This window comes from Homo sapiens, chromosome 3 (assembly GCF_000001405.40).
Source record: "Homo sapiens chromosome 3, GRCh38.p14 Primary Assembly".
Lineage (NCBI taxonomy): Eukaryota > Metazoa > Chordata > Mammalia > Primates > Hominidae > Homo > Homo sapiens.
Window position 1 is genome coordinate 142,722,986 of NC_000003.12, and position 17,166 is coordinate 142,740,151.

The window sequence follows — 17,166 nt, forward strand, 5'->3', positions numbered from 1 at the left end:
CTACCATTTGATCCAGTAATCCCACTACTGGGTATCTACCCAGAGGAAAAGAAGTCATTACACGAAAAAGATACTTGCCCATGCATATTTATAGCAGCACAATTCGCAATTGCAAAAATGTGGAGCCAACCCAAATGCCCATGAATCAATGAGTGGATAAAGAAACTGTGATATATATATATATATATATATATGTGGTATATATATATGTGATATATATATAATGATGGAATACTACTCAGCCATAAAAAGGAATGAATAAATGGCATTCGCAGAAACCTGGATGGGACTGGAGACTATTATTCTTATTCTAAATGAAGTAACTCAGGAATGGAAAACCAAACATCGTATGTTCTCACTCACAAGTGAGAGCTAAGCTTTGAGGATGCAAAGGCATAGGAATGACACAATGGACTTTCGGGACTCGGGGAAAGGTTGGGAAGGGGGAGAGGGATAAAAGACTACAAAATTAGGTTCAGTGTATACTGCTCGATGATGGGTACATCAAAATCTCACAAATCATCACTAAAGAACTTACTCATGTAACCAAACACCACCTGTTCCTCAAAAACCTATGGAAATAATATGGAAATAAAAATTTATATATTTGTATAAATTATTTAAACATAATATAATTATATATCTATATATCCTTTATAAATGAGAGTTCATTTCCAGCCTAAAATGAGTACAACATACAAACCCACGAGTCTGGCTCTCCATTGTGCTTTAAAGCATAGTGCACCAGAATATGAAATAGCTGGACAATTCCACAAAGGATTTCGACTAAACATTAAGTCGTCAGAGACTCAATTAACATACTGCTCCATATTTGCTTAATTACCTTAAACCAGTACCCTGGGTGTGGAAAGGGACGATTGAGCGAAGTCTTCCTCAGACTGCGGTTCACCTCACCAGAGCGAAGGAAGCTGCAGCGGGCTCCAGGAGCCCAGTGCGTCCCCACCGCAGGCCCCACCCACCCACGCCCCGCTTGCCGCAGGCCCCGCCCACCCAAGCCCGCCCTTGCCGCAGGCTCCTCCCTAGTGTCGTCGCTACAGAGGAGCAGAGGATGACGTGAGGACAGAGTCGCGAACATCTCCTCGGAGCGCAGCTGGGCCAGCGGTTCCCACAGCCCTGGAGCCCAACGTGCGCAGAAGCGCCTCTTGGAGCTCCTCTCCCACAGATCTCTCGTCCTCTTCCTGGGCTAGGCCGCCCCAGGCGCGGCCCCTGCGACTCCTGGCACGGCCCCGTGCTCGGCTGCCGCCCTGGCGCGCGCCACACTGTCGTCCCCGGACGGGCGCGGACCGGCTCGGCCGGGGCGCCGGCGGCTGGGGAGGGGTCGCTGGCCCCGGGGCCGCGCATGCGCCGCCACCAACTTGGGGCTGTCAGTGGAGGGCGAGTGCTGGTTCTCAGGGGAGGCGACGCCCTTCGGGGCCAACGGGCCTCGAGCCGAGGCAGCAGTGGGAACGACTCATCCTTTTTCCAGCCCTGGGGCGTGGCTGGGGTCGGGGTCGGGGTCGGGGCCGGTGGGGGCCCCGCCCCCGTCTCCTGGCCTGCCCCCTTCATGGGCCGCGATGATGGCGGCCCTGTACCCGAGCACGGACCTCTCGGGCGCCTCCTCCTCCTCCCTGCCTTCCTCTCCATCCTCTTCCTCGCCGAACGAGGTGATGGCGCTGAAGGATGTGCGGGAGGTGAAGGAGGAGAATACGCTGAATGAGAAGCTTTTCTTGCTGGCGTGCGACAAGGGTGAGAGTTAGGCCCCTTTCTCCTCTGGACGCCCCTGTCCTCCAGACCTTTAGTCCTCTCCCCCGCCTCAACTTATATCGGGGCATTCCCTCTGTCTCAGGCGCCGAGTGTCTTCCCGCCTCGCCTGCTGCCTCAGGCGGTCTTCTCCTCACCGCCTCTGCCCTGTGAGTGTGGAGCTGGCGGGAGAGTGGAGCTGGGGCTGCGCCCTCGGAGCGCTGCACCGTCGGGGGTGGCTCTGGCCTTGGGGTCCGGGGTTTAGGTAGCGCCTTGGGAGCCCCGACCCCAGCGTTTTAGCGCCGCCCTTGCTACTGACCGCATGAATGACCTGGTCTTCTCTCTGGCTCGCAGTTCATTCCTTCCGGGAGTCGAGAGGCTAGTTTCCGACACTCCAGTCGGAAAATTCCGTCACCTTACCTTAGGATGCCTCGTATGGAGGGTTCTCATCACCTGGTTTTTGTTTTTCTTAAAAACAAAACCAGACCCTCTATTATTTAGCTTCACCTGACCAGTGCTTTAGCCAGTGACTGTTGACTGGCATTAATAACGGAATATCCTAGGTGGAGATACATGAAGTAAGGACGGGACGGAAGAAATTCTGCCTTAGTTGCCAAAACTTTCTCTGGATTTACGGAACGCCTTTGATTGTTAGTGCTTTTTATTGGAGAGAAAGATTTATTGCTCCCAGATCTTTCTTTGGGAGATAAAGATAGTGAAAAATAATTACAGGAATTACAAGGCAAAAATATGTGGAATATATTTAGCGCGTTATCCTTTTTTTAGTCTAGAAGTTAATCATTTTTATGGCCATATTAAGGCCATGTCACGCAATCATCCTTTGTAGTGATGTATATAACAAAAGGGATAGGAAATTGATTGCCCTAAGACTGCTTTTGTTTCCTACATGGAAACACTAAAATTTTTCTTTTTCCAAATTTATATGGCTGTACACTTAGGAAAACTCTGTTAGAAACATGCAAACTTCTGGAACAAACCCAAAGGGCAGTTTACACTATGAAAAGACTAACTACACAGGATTTTTGTTTGTTTGTTTGTATGTGTGAATGTGTAATTAATAAATGACAGCCTTCCTAACCTCTCCTCCTGCTTTTGAAATAGGATTTTATTTACATGATTTTTTGAAAACAATTGACATATAAACAAAGTCCACCTATGTCTGTGGTTGAGCCATTTTTATGTTCTTATGTAATAGTATTAAATAATATTATGAAAGCAATATTAATAATATTGTTAAAGTACACCATGGACACAACTTTGAGCAGTCTTTGAGATGTAAAGAAACAGAATATACATCTACAACGTCACAAAAATAGGGTCTGTGGATTATGTAAAATTATTTAGTATTGCTGGAGTGGGTTGCCTGAGTTCTCTTCCCTCAAAAGTTCTGAGAGAGGAAGGGGAGAAGATTGTGTTGTACTAAAATGAGTAAGTGCTGGCTCCATGTATTCCAGCTCACTGTGCAATGGTTATTTTAAAGCAAACAGAAAGTATGTCAAGAAAGGAAATTTGATATTCCTGTCAAACTGAGGACAGAAAAATATCAGTGGAATATGGTTGAGCAAGTATTTGTGCATTGTGTATATTTAGGATTATTGCATGACATATCTCAAACAAAAGAGAGTTTTAATTTATGATAGTTGTATAGCCTATTTAGTAGTACCAGGTGAAATACCTTGATATTCTTTGTCAGTTTTTTATTTTATAACATAATTGAGATGAGAGACTTGGCTTTGGGGGGGTAGGGTGGAAATTAAATATGCATATTTTCCCCATATATAAATTAGAAATTTTTAAAACAAGTGAGCTAAAATGGGAATTTTCTGTTTCAGGTATGTCTAAACAACTTCTTGAGTTAGATTTGGAAAAATAGCATAATTCTTACGCATACTTATGGGGTACATTTACATTTAAAAAGTAACTTTGAGTTATAGGAATATTCTTTTGATTACGTGTTTGTATTCGCTAATATTGTTAGACTTTTTAAAATGTTACCTAAACCAGTCTAAAAGTGAACAATTTCCTGAAGTAGCTATGACTTCCACCATTACACTGGAGCCTTCCTCAGACCAAATGTTAAACATTCACTAAAGCAGCTATTGGGGTCGAGTGTTCATGCTTTTCATAGAGGATTTCATTTAAACCCCACAACCCCATGAGCCAGATCTGTTGTTGTCCTCAATTTGTAGATGAGGAAAATGAGGCTTAGCAAAATTTTAAAATTACTTTGCCCAAGGTTACATTGGTTAGATAATAGTAGAACTGGCATTTATCTTGAGCCTGCACTCCTAACCACTACGTTATATAGATCTGGTTGTAGGTGAATGAGTGAACATCATTTGTGTCAGAAAAGACACATCCATATTTGGACTTACTAGTTGAAATTACATTTTCTTTGTATGGATGCTTTATAAACCTTGATTTCTGTGTATTACATTTGTTCAATGAAGGGTAAAAAGCAAGCATGGTACTTCAGTAGCACCAGAGTAAATCAACTCTAGAGTATCTATGGTGTTCTAGAGTGTCTCATTCTTTTCATGTAGCATTCTTGTTGTACATATGCAAAATGTTCATAACATATTCTTCTTAGGAAAAATTGAGGAATTCCTAAAGCAAAAATTGTGGAGATGAGATGGATATGTGTATGTTAGTGGATGGGTGGCCCTTTGAAAGATGTGTACAGATTAAAGAGTACAATAAATGTAGGAAAGAGAAAAGAAAAAGATTTATAGTTTGTGATAGCTGGCTTTTATGTAAGTAAGTTCGGTAGATTTAGGCAACTGCTGATCTAGGTAGTGGCCACTTAGTAATGGCTGTTAGTGATCTTCATAGTGGGTGAGGATCATCTCAGAGGTAACATTGAATCCTTTCTTTGTAAAGGAAAACCTTAATTGAAAGTTACTGTGCCAGCAATATATAAAGTGAAGTCTAGGACCCCCAGATAAAATTCTCAGAAAGTATACTCATGTTCTTTCTAGAGATAGAAAGCTATATAAATTCAGAGGTAAAACTTAATTGAAACAAGAGCTGACTATAAATATGTTGTTTTATGAAAAATTAAGTAGTGATTCTTACAGCCATGGCTTTGTCCTCTCTCATTGAGAATTAGTGTCATAATGAGCCTCTTTTATTTGTAGGCACCTATGGTGTCCCTCAGGTCTGTTAACAGGAGAAAGGGTAAATAAGTTTATTTAGAAAACACCTAAACTAAGTGTAGTTCATGTTAATTTTCCTCTAAAAAAAAAAAACTTGTTGAGTAGATGGTAGCTTTTAGTATATATTTGTAAATATAAACCTGCATAAACTGTTTGATTTGCTGATGATCATTAATCAGTTCATGTGGAGGAAAGAAAGTATGAAATGATTCAGTCCCTGCCAACTCTCCATGGAGAGTATTTTCAGGAAATCTGATGTGCGGTAAATGAGTTAGAAGCCCCTTCTTGAAATTTCAGCATGGGGTTAGGGGGAGGGATGGAGAGAGCAGGTTTTCACCTTTATCAGTGGGCTCAGCCTAGTCTCAGTGTCCTGTGTCACCTTTGTGGTAAGATTTGCTGTGTTGTAAGGAAAAATGTTTTGATGACTGTATTTCTTTTTTTTTTTTTTTGAGATGGAGTTTCTCTTGTTGCACAGGCTGGAGTGCAGTGCAACCTCCGCCTCCCGGGTTCCAGCGATTCTCCGGCCTCAGCCTCAGCCTCCTGAGTGGCTGGGATTACAGGTGCCCACCACCACGCCCGGCTAATTTTTTTGTATTTTTAGTAGAGACAGGGTTTCACCATGTTGGCCAGGCTGGTCTCAAACTCCCGACCTCGAGTGATCCACCCGCCTCGGCTTCCCAAAGTGCTGGGATTATAGGCGTGGGCCACCGTGCCTGGCCTGATGACTGACTTTCTCCATAAGCTTTGTGTACCTTTGGGCTAAGGATGCTTTAAAAATGTGCAACAACTCCAGAGAGAAGCCAGAGTCAGAAGAAAAAAGTGCAGCATTTCTGAGAGAAGTAATATTAAGCTGCTGTTTTTTAAACACCTTATTTATATATAATGGGCCTTTAAAATTTTTTTACTTATTTGAGAAGAGATTTTGAAGTCTGGTATTAGAGAGGATGGTGGTGGGAAGAAACAAAAAATGCAGAGTACTGAGTATTGGTGTGAAGTGTTATGTTGACAATGGGGCACCTAATGTAAGGAGGTATGTGCTGTGAGGAAAAAACTTTGCAGAAATGAGAGGTAAAGAGGGTATTGTAGGCAGCATTCTATAAACACTTCACAAATCATCATAGACATAGCATTTATGTACTTTATATAGGAAAGCTTTTCAAATAACCAAAGTTTTACAATGTAATAGTTGAAAAACATTGCCATGGCGAACGGTTCAGGGATACTTTAACAACAGCAACGAAAGACTCAAATTGCGAAAATCTTAGTGGATAATTTATCTCTAACAGACTAGTAATTCAGCAGCTAGCTGCCTGGTAGTTCTATGATACTGGTAATTCTTTATAGTGATCACGCAACTTTGCTGCTCTTTTTCTGTAAGTCACAATCAAACTATACTTATCAAGCTGTTAATTGTGTTAAGGCACTGTGAAAGTGCTTTATCAAGAAAGTACTGAGTACATCCCTATCCTTTAGGAGAATATTCTTTAATGGAGATGCTCTCTTGTGCTCTAGCGAGGAGAAGTAAGGAAACAAAAGTATGTTTGTATTAAATATATCTGTCTGAAGGGAAGAAGCAAGTGCTCAATTTAACTTAAATGGCCTATATGTGATTTGGAGAATGGGATATTACGTGTACAGGGTCAGTCTTTTATCTGGGCAGTTAAAAAAAATGTAACCCAAGCCAGACTCCTAGCTATACCTTGTATATAGACTTGGAGGAAGAGTGTGAAAAGATTAAATTTTATTATATAGGTATTATCGTAACCTAATAATTCCTCTTCTACCTTGCTGCCAGTGCTCTAAATATCTTCTTCATTGCTAACTCTTCCAAATTTAATGATACTGAGAAATTTAAGATTTAAGATCAATAGTTGAATAGGTAATGAGGATTTCAAAAGTTATCACTAAGATGTGATTAACTAATGACTTTTAGGAGCCTAGATGAATGATAAGGACTAAAAGAATTCCAGCACTGTATCAATATAGTCATGAGACTCAGTAGATTTCTTTGGATGCCAAAGCTTTGTTATGTATAAAGTGGGGGTGACTGGCACTGTTATTAATAGCTTCTGTTAATTTTTAAACATATGTTTTTCTAGATTAACATATTGGCCAGTAATATATTTTTCTAGTTTTATAAATATGTATAATTCAAATGTATATGAGATTAAATTTAAGCAACACAATAAATCCTTTCTGAGACTGTGTTGCAACAACCTGATATAAACTAAGTTTTAAACAACTTACAGCAGCATTGTGAATGGGATCTCATGTCATTTATCAGACTCTAACTACAAAATAAACATTGCTTTTGACTATTTTTCTAATAGAGTTAAGAATATGCTGTTTATAATTTTTATCAACTGATTTACTATGAAAAAATCAGCATTACCTTCTGTGCTATAGTGTAATTTTTTCAGGCAGCAGTGTGAATCTTTGCTCTTTTGCCAAATGATATTCATTATTATTAATGGTCCTCATTAAGATTCATAAGCAACTAAGAAATTATGGTAATAATTGTCTTTTTACAAAAATGTTCAAAGTGTTATAAACAGTTTAGCCTACCATGTTTTTTAGTATCTTTAATTTTGAAGGTTTCATTTACAATAATATGGTTATAAATACATTGGGGTCTGTAATACGAGTTTTGCACATTTGATAAAGCTACATTTTAAATCATTTTCACTGTAAAAAGTCTGCATGGGTTTTTTTTTTTTTTCCTTTTTAAAATTTGGTTCAAGCTAATTTGAAGTTTGATGTCAGTTAACATTTTTATCAGTATTGTCATTTATATTTCCAGATCCAGCAACTGAACTTGATCATGTCTTTTTATTTTTTCACATCATCATTCTTTTTCCTCTTAATAAAACTTTCTGTTTTAAGCATCATTGGTAATATTTCAGTTAGAATGTTGCAATTGCCACACTCAGGTTTGTTACAGAAACTTGGTTTGAAAAGCTTTACAAATTTTTTGACATTAAATTCTCTCACACTTCACAACTAACTTCAAATTTGGTTAATATAAAATTAAACTGAACAACATTGATACTCTCTTTGCCATAAAATCAAACGAGATGCTAATGAGGAAGAGGTGGAATCACCTGTTCTTAATCAGTATTGTAACATTTCTCCATTGTATTTCTCAAGGGTTTATTACAGTTGGCCAGAGTAAATTTGTTGCTAAGGATCTATGGGATCACTCTGGTATTTTGTATACTAGTTCATTTTTTTTAAATTGCTGGTTAGGACTCACTAAATTGATTTTATGACTGTTAATGGGTTGCAACCTGCAGTTTGGAAAACATTGGTTTGGAATGATCATTGGCTGAGCCGCAGAGAGGCACAAGATGAATTCAGAATGTTAACAAGGTCTAACTAAGTCCTATAGGGCTTTGTAGGCCACAGTAGAAATTTGGCCTTTATTTTAAGTGTGATAGAAAAATCACAAAGTTTGTAAGCTTGATATGTTTTGATTTTTTTTTTTTTTTTTTTTTTTTTTTTGAGACCGAGTCTCGCTCTGTCGCCCAGGCTAGAGTGCAGTGGCGTGATCTCGGTTCACTGCAAGCTCCGCCTCCCACGTTCACGCCATTCTCCTGCCTCAGCCTCCCAAGTAGCTGGGACTACAGGTGCCCCCCACCATGCCCGGCTAATTTTTTGTATTTTTAGTAGAGGCGGGGTTTCACTGTGTTAGCCAAGATGGTCTCCATCTCCTGACCTCATGATCCGCCTGCCTCAGCCTCCCAAAGTGCTGGGATTACAGGCATGAGCCACCGCGCCCGGCTTGTGTTTTGAATTTTTAACCGATAACTCTAGCTGTGGAGTGCAGAGTGGATTGAAGGGGTGGGGCTAGAGCAGGAGTGAGCAAACTATGGGCCACAGACCATATCTGCCTGTTCTGTGAGGTCTTGGAGCTAAAACTGGTTTTTTACATTTTATATTTCAAATGGTTAAAAAAAATTTCGTAACACATGAAAAGTCTATAAAATTCAAATTTCAGTGTCCATAAACAAAATTTTCTTAGAACACATCCACTATCATTTGTTTACATATGGTCTGTGGCTGCTTTTGTGTTGAAAGGGCAGAGTTGAGTAGCTGTGACTGAGAGTGCATGGCCCACAAAGCTTAAAATATTTACTCTCTAACCCTTTTTCAGAAAACTTTGTTGACCCCTGTGCTACAGTATAAAGTATTAGTAAGTAATATAAGTTGCAATAGGGAAAAGAGTAAACAAGGAAGGGGGTGAGTGTGGGCTCAGTGGAGTCAGGGAAGTGAAAAATTACAAAATACGGGGCTTGGGGAGTTGGTCCATGTGAATCCCACCTGAGTTTGCTAAAGGCACTTAAGGAGTTAGGCTCCTACCCTCCCTGGAGGCTGAGAGATAGGGGCCCTGTCTTCAGGTGTTGGCTGGAACAAAAGTAAATTTTTATGTCAGCTTTGAGTTTTCTCGGGCAGGCATTTTAAGAGGGGCTAGGGTCATCCTAGGGATCCGGCCTTCAGCTGTTAGAAACACTTAAGTGTTTTGTTCAAGTTTATATGGGCCAAGGTGGAGGCCTTGTGGAGAAGGGCTCAGAAAAGCCTGACTAGAGTTTGGTTAAGGAGAGAATCTTGGTCAGCAGCTGTGTTAGTTAAGAGGCTATTGCAGAGTCCAGGAGGAAGATCATGGGGGTTTGGACTGTGGGTAGCAGTATACATGGAGACAAGTAGATGATTATGGGAGATATTTTAGAGAGGGGGCTAAGAAGACGTGCTGTTGAATTGGTATACTCCCTGTGGAATTGATTGAAAATGGTTTCTTTTTCCTTGACTGAAAAAGACTACCATCTAGCCAAAAAAGTAAACAGATTATGTTGCACTTCCTTCTATGTGTTATATTTTAAAAGACAAAAGATGTAACTCTTGAAAGCAACTTCGTTATAAAATGAATGGCATTTATATATTTGTCTGTCATACACAGGCATTTTGAATTGTAATCCTTGTTCTATAACTAGCTACTTGCTGTCTATTTTAAGTTTTCTGACCTCTTTTTACATATATACTCATCCTAAAAATTAAGAGTGTTCTGGTCTTTTTTTTTTTTTGACATAGTGCATTGTTTTAAATGAATTGCAAATATAAACTTCTCTGAAATGCTTAGCAACCACTCTAGGTTTCCTGTAGGTTCTGTGACTATAATGTGATTTTTCATTTGCATGACTGTGTTAGCTGTAGCAGGGTGGAACCTTTTATTTTTAGGGATGAAAATTATTTATTTGGTTTTGATTTTTAGGGATTTTCTTTCTTTCTTGTATAGCTCCTTGACTACAATAGAAATAATCTTTAAAACCTTAGGGCTGGGCACGGTGGCTTATGACTGTAATCTCAGCACTTTGGGAGGCCAAGGCGGGCAGATCACTTGAGGTCAGGAGTTCGAGACCAGGCTAGCCAACATGGTGAAACCACATCTCTACTAAAAATACAAAAATTAGCCGGGCGTGGTGGCAGCTGCCTGTAATCCCAGCTACTCAGGAGGCTGAGGCAGGAGAATCGCTTGAACCCAGGAGGCAGAGGTTGCAGTGAGCCAAATGGTGCCATTGTACTCCTCCAGCCTGGGTGACAGAGTGAGTCTCTGTCTTAAAAACAAAACAAAAACTTTAAAGCTGGAATATATGATATTTGTAATGTACTTTCCTTTTTAACAGCAATCTAAACTTTTAAACATGTAGCAGTTATTTTTGTCTATTTGCTATACCTGAAATTTATAAAATGTCATAAGGATTTATTTGTGTAGCTCTTCCTACGTTTCTGTCTCTAGCAATATGGTTGATTAGATAATCTGAAAACCTTTCTTCTTCAAATCACCTAGAAATTATAGCTAAAATATAATGAACATCCAGTTAAATGAACAGCTGAGCTTTCAAGAAAGTAGGGGAAACAACCAAGATACAAAAGTGAAGAAAAAACTGAAAAACAGGAGTTTGTGAGCTGACACTATGGCTGCTCCATGGGTGGGGATAAGAGTTACTGTTCTGGGCATTGCAGGGATTTGAGTCTTAATGCCCATATGAGAACAGGTTACAAGGCCTGGAGACTGTACAAAGTGAGGAGTTGGATTCAACATCTAAGCATAAAACCAGGATTCTTAAAGGACTGTACCTTCAGCAAAGAGGTAGATGAGGAGAAAAACCAATCTACCAGCACATGGAGACTTCAAAGAAGCTTGTTTGTGTTATTGTGGGCTCTGAATAAGGCTAAAAATAAGACTCCTTTAAGAATACATAACCATGGTCCTGCCTCTTGTTGTCTTGGGGTTCAAATTAATACTACTTTCAGATAATTAAACTGTCATACAGCGACTACAAAATAATTATGTTTAAAATGATGAGAAAGTTAAAATAAGGAAATGAAAACATAAGAAAATAAGAGAGTTGGAAAGAAATCTGGTAAAACTTATGCAAATAAAAAATACAGTCATTAAATTTTTAAGAAATCAGTGAATGGGTTAAAGGAGGAATGTGAATGGAAGCTAAAGGAGAAATAAGTGAGTGGAAGAAATATGTGAAGAAATTACCCAGAATGCAGGAAAGAGAGAGGAAAAAAAGAAAAAACAGGAAATCTTGAGAGACACAGATGTTGAAATGGGAAGGTCTAACTTAATGTCTAATGGAAGTTGACAAGAGAAAAAGCAATATGGAGATGAAGCAATATTTGAAGAGAGAATGGCTGAAAATACTGAAGAATTAATGAAGGGTAGAAGTCCTTAGATTTAGAAAGCCTAGGCCAGATGTGGTGGCTCATGCCTATAATCCCAGCACTTTTGGAGGCCGAGGCGAGAGGATTGCTTGAGGCCAGGAATTTGAGACAAGCCTGGGCAACATAGCGAGACCTCATCTCTATAAAAAATAAAAATAAAAAAAAAAATTGAAAGCCTAATGAGTCCTAAGCAGAATAAATAAAAAATTACTTTTCACCTGGACACATCACGATAACAAAGTATAGCAGAATTTTTATGTGTAGCATTCTACTACTAAGATGTTGAAATAGAGTCACCTGAAATAAGATTTTAAATGTCACTTTCCAGTAATAGCGATAAATTTTCACTGGTCTATCTTTGGTCACTATTGGTTCAACTTGTGACTTAGAGTATCACTTTGTGAAGTGTCTGTCTGATAAGGTTTTCCCAGGGAGCATTTGTGTCTAACTATTAACTACTAGTACTATGGGGAAAATATTTCTTTTTGTGACTAGTTTTCTTCTTGAGGGACCTAAGGAAATACATTGTCAAGAAAACTATCACCCAGCTTCCTTCAAAAGAAGTTGTATGTGTGAGGCAGGGAGTTTAAGGCCATAGATTAAAAATAGTAGCAAATTTACTTGAAATTTTAATAAATAAAATATGTTACCTGTCTTTCTTACTCACTTATTTAGCCCAGTTTCAGTATTTTCTTTTTCTGTATCATGAAATCATTTCTTTTTCTATTTTCTATGCTGATTGTTCTTTCCCTGTTTATTTATAGACTTCTAATGAGCAACTGTATTTGCACATCACGTAAAATGACTTATTTATCTATTGTTTAACAAGTCAAATGAAACAAAACAAGCAAAACCCACCTTGGCTTTTTTTCTCTATTTAATTAGCATTTCTCTTGATTTATTCCCCATATTCCTGTACCATCTGGTCAGCAGACAAATACAGTGGGGCCTTGCTGAAAATAATTACTGCTGTAATTGTTGTCATTTCCTCACATGGGACAACTGTTTTGTTGTGGGCTACAGTCACACAGAAGGCAATTTGCCTGCTCCTAACAGGTCAGGCACTAATCCTAGTCCTGCCTTAAGAGTTTTGTGAACTGAATGTTCCCTGGCCATTTAATCTAATCAGCTTCATTAATGAGATGGTGTGTGTGTGTGTGTGTTGGGAGGGTGGGAAGTAGGGAAGAGGATTTTCAGACATCTTTCCCTTTACTATACATATCCTTGAATATATATGTATTTATACTGCTTTTCCAAAGTGTTTTCTCCTGTAAAACCTCTTTATAATATCCTCTGCTTATTACTAGATCTCATTTTTAACTCTATGTTATGTAAGTAAATATCTATGTATATTTGAGGTATAAAACTTAATTCTTTAAGCTTTTTCCATCTAATTTTTCTAGTGTCCAGTCTGTGCCTTTGGGCATCCTTTATTAAATTGCTTTAAATATCTTCCAAAAGTTTCTCCTCTTATGATCATTCAGTTATTAATTTTAAACTAATAATTTTTATTTTATTCTGTACATTTAAAAATTTTCTACTTTTTATGTCTGCTGCTGATGTACGTATTATTTTATTAAGGTATAAATTTTCATCAAGGAAATGTTCACATTCTCTGTGTACATTTTCTTATACAAAAATGAGTTTAGGCTTTTAATCTTTTAATTCAACAAGCTAAGTTTTTCTTTACAGTCATCCTTACTTGATATGTCACGGATATTAAATTATGTTTGTATATTGTTATTTAGGTGACTATTATATGGTTAAAAAGATTTTGGAGGAAAACAGTTCAGGTGACTTGAACATAAATTGCGTAGATGTGCTTGGGAGAAATGCTGTTACCATAACTATTGAAAACGAAAACTTGGATATACTGCAGCTTCTTTTGGACTACGGTTGTCAGGTACAAGGCTAGATAATTTAATCCAGTTAACTTCTAAGTGCTGTTAGATATGCCATGCTTTCTTCCCTTCTTGTTTTCTTTCTTCTTTTTCCTCCTCTTCTTCCTTTCTTTTTCTTTCTTTGTCTCTCTTACTCTCCTTCTGTCTTTCATCTTTTATTTGGTTTTGAGGCACTAAAAGTTTTAAAAACAAACCAAAAAAAACTTTTTGAAAAGTATAATATTTTGAATTGATTTATCTTTTTCCTCCCAAATGTCATTTTCCCCACATGACTTATTAAAGATGACTTTGTTTTCATTACCTATGTTAACACTATTTATATTATATATCTAAAATAGTACAAATACTCTGGAAGTGTCAGAGGAATAGTTTTTTTTCTGGCCCATATTAGTTACAGACACATCAACAAAATGTTCCTGCCTCAAAACAGTTTTCAGTTTGACTTTGGTTTTATTAAATTTTATTTTTTTGTTTGAAACTTAATGTTTGTTTTTATCTAAAGATGAATGATTTTTATCCATCTATAAAAGGTAGACCTTCCTACTTCATATCAGTTTGGGTAGAAAAACAGGCATGTGTGTAAGTCTTGAATGAATTCAGTCTAGAGATTCTGAAGGGAATTTGATAATATTTTCCTTTCCTTTTTGGTTTGCTTATGATGGGACTTGGCACATTAATTCTACCTCTTTTTTTTTTTTTCTTAATGAGGCACATTTTTTTTGAGTGACATCAGGAGACATTCACAGCAGATTTTCTGAATATAAGTAGGGTAATTCTATGTACATTGCTATTTTATATATATATATGTATGTATGTATGTATGTATGTATAAAACAACATGTGGTACTATCTCCATGTACATGTTTGGAGTAAAAAAAAAAGAATTGCTTACCCAGCAACTTCAGCTATCCAGACCACAATTGAGAAGCAGAAAGTAAGTAAAAAATACCTCTGAGCAGCCAGTGGTTTGCTGCCATGAAGTTTACAGATTAAATTTATGAACTTTAGTTATAGGAGTCCTCCATCAGGGTCTATTTTTTCTCATTTTAGTTTCCATTTTAACATAATTAATTTCTAATCCATAGAGAATCTGAGGGACAATGGAAGGGGCATGAGAGCTGCAGTGGAATAAAATGAGGAGTGGTACCTCCGACACTGTTTAACAGAGGTCAACAGCATTACACATGTGATCTCTGAGGGAGCTGTATGTTAGGATGATAATTAAGGCTTATAACAATGGTGCAGAGTCAGTAAGGAAGAGTTAAATTATATTCAGTACCTATTGTTTTAGAAGAAAGACTGTATATATGTGTGTTTGTGTATGTGCGTTTGTGTGTTTATAAGACACAAAAGCAGAAGACTTCCATCAAAATAGTTTAAATTTTAAAATTAAACACTTAAAGGCATAAGCTTCAGTTACCTAGAAAATAAGGGTAGAAAAAAATTCATACGCTGATTCTGGATAAAAGAATTACTATGGTATTATAATTTTGTCTTTTTACACATGGTTATATACATGTAATGGTTTTGCAGTATACATGGTGCTTTCATATACTTGATCACATTCAGACATCACAGTCAACCTATATAGATGTTACATTTTATAGATTAGAAAACTGAGGCTCATAGACTTTAATGAATTTCTCAAAGTTCTAAAATTAGTAAGGACAAGACAAAGATTTAAATATAATCTTCTGATTGCAAATCTCATGCTCTTTCTAGTTCACTGTGTTCTGTCCAGGTTACCTGTGTCTTATTTTATCAGTCCACAAATGTCCAGGGCCTTTGGTTGGGTATGATTGTGGAAATGAATAAGTAAAACATGGGTTCTGTGTGATAGGATCTTTAAGACAAATTGGACAATTAAAGTATGTATGAATTACAAGTAAATTAAGTAATACAAAGGTATATTTGGTAAGTGTTGAGTGGTAATAATATTTGACCATTTTATATTGCTTTGCATTTATAAGAGCTTTCATGTATCTTGTGCTATATCAGTGGTTCTCAACCAAATGATTTTGTCACCATAAGGGGACATTTGGCAATGTCTGAAGATACTTTGGTTTCACAATTGGAGGGCAGTTTACTACTGTTATCTAGTGGGTAGAGGCTCCTACAATACCCAAGACAGTCCCCACAACAAAAAATTATTTGGCCCAAAATTTCAGTAGTGCTGCTATTGAGAAACCCTGTTTTATGTTTAAACTTTTGTGGTTTGATATACATTATTTAGAAATATAGAATAGGTTGGGGCTATCAAGAAAGATTTCATTGGAAAAGTATCAGTTGACTCAGCCTTGAAATATTAATAATTGCTAACATTTATATAATAACTACTCTCTGCCAGGAACCTTAAATATGTTCACTTACTTAATCCTCACAATATAGGGATTTGAATTTAATCTTCAAATTAAATTCAGGGATGAGTTAGATATTATTTTATTATTATTATTTTTTGAGATGGAGTTTCGCTCTTGTTGCCCAGGCTGGAGTGCAATGGCGTGATCTCGGCTCACTGCAACCTCTGCCTCCTGGGTTCAAGCGATTCTCCTGCCTCAGCCTCCCAAGTAGCTGGGATTATTATAGGCATGCACCATCACGCCCGGCTAATTTTGTATTTTTAGTAGAGATGGGGTTTCTCCATGTTGGTCAGGCTGGTCTCGAACTCCTGACCTCAGGTGATCCACCTGCCTTGGCCTCCCAAAGTGCTGAGATTACAGGTGTGAGCCACTGTGCCCAGCCTAGATATTATTATTGTCCCCATTTTATAGAGGAGGAAACAGGTAAAAAAGGTTAAGTAACTTGCCCAAAGTCATTCTGTGAATGGCAGACCTGGAATTTGAACTTAGGTTCTGGCTCCAGAATCTATGGTCTTACCTATTATGCTAATCTACTCTCAAACATGTAAAGACAGGTAGGGAACAGGAGATGTGGAGAAGGATATAAACAGAGCCATGTGCAATGTATATTTTTGAGACACTGAATTGATTTAGCATTTTTGAACAAAACAGTTGGGTTGGGGAGTAGTAGGAATTAGGAAAAATAATTAAAACAAAATGGATACAAAGGGCCTTGAATGCCAGAATAAGGAATTTGGGTTTTATATAATAGTTAGGGGATATCATTACATGATTTTCGAGAAAGGATGTGATGTGTCCAGTGGTATTTTAGAAAGATGTATCTAGTGGCTGAATTTAGTATAGACTGGGAAATGGAAAGTGGGAAAGGCTATAGCCTATGTCAATAGTTTTTGTAGTAATCTACATATGAAGAGGTTGAGGCTTGAACTGGAACAGTGCTGTAAGAAAAACAGTGGCTATGAGAAGAAGGGGGAAAAGGCAGATATGAGTCCATGGCCTATATGGTTCCGTGGTCTGTTAGGAACTGGGCTGCACAGCAGGAGGTAAGCAGCAGGTGAGCGATCATTACTGCCTGAGCTCTGCCTCCTGTCAGGTCAGCGATGGTATTAGATCCTCATAGGAGTACGAACCCTATTGTGAACTGCACATGCAAGGGATCTAGGTTGCATGCTCCTTATGAGAATCTAACCAATGCCTGATGATCTGAGGTGGAACAGTTTCATCCGAAACTATCTCCCTACCTGCTCTATGAAACCAGTC

At 38.1% G+C, this 17,166-nt stretch overlaps 1 protein-coding gene across 24 annotated transcripts in view, besides 2 other annotated features; it reads left to right on the forward strand.

Moving 5' to 3' along the window:
- The window catches only part of TRPC1 (transient receptor potential cation channel subfamily C member 1), an 83,855-nt gene continuing 67,737 nt past the window's right edge, over positions 1,049 to 17,166 (forward strand). For 10 of the 24 annotated variants that reach the window (XR_007095723.1, XR_007095722.1, NM_001251845.2 and 7 more), the window contains exons 1-2: positions 1,049 to 1,746; positions 13,394 to 13,548. Coding sequence is in view for 22 of the 24 variants with exons in the window: in NM_001251845.2 (NP_001238774.1) it covers positions 1,575 to 1,746; positions 13,394 to 13,548 (327 nt within the window). In the remaining 2 variants the exon portion in view is untranslated. Of the gene's footprint in view, positions 1,747 to 11,206; positions 13,549 to 17,166 lie in introns of those variants that run through there. The other 14 variants (NM_001413375.1, NM_001413378.1, NM_001413377.1 and 11 more) reach the window with 3 other exon arrangements.
- Positions 1,293 to 1,342: a silencer, noted in NCBI's record as "silent region_14790". NCBI's record gives its function as "represses an Ori minimal core promoter by ATAC-STARR-seq in GM12878 lymphoblastoid cells {active_cell/tissue: GM12878}" and the evidence as "EXISTENCE:reporter gene assay evidence [ECO:0000049][PMID:35858748]".
- Positions 1,601 to 2,467: an enhancer, noted in NCBI's record as "H3K27ac hESC enhancer chr3:142443428-142444294 (GRCh37/hg19 assembly coordinates)". NCBI's record gives its function as "activates a minimal SCP1, AML or CMV promoter by ChIP-STARR-seq in naive H9 embryonic stem cells {active_cell/tissue: H9 hESC(naive)}" and the evidence as "EXISTENCE:reporter gene assay evidence [ECO:0000049][PMID:30033119]".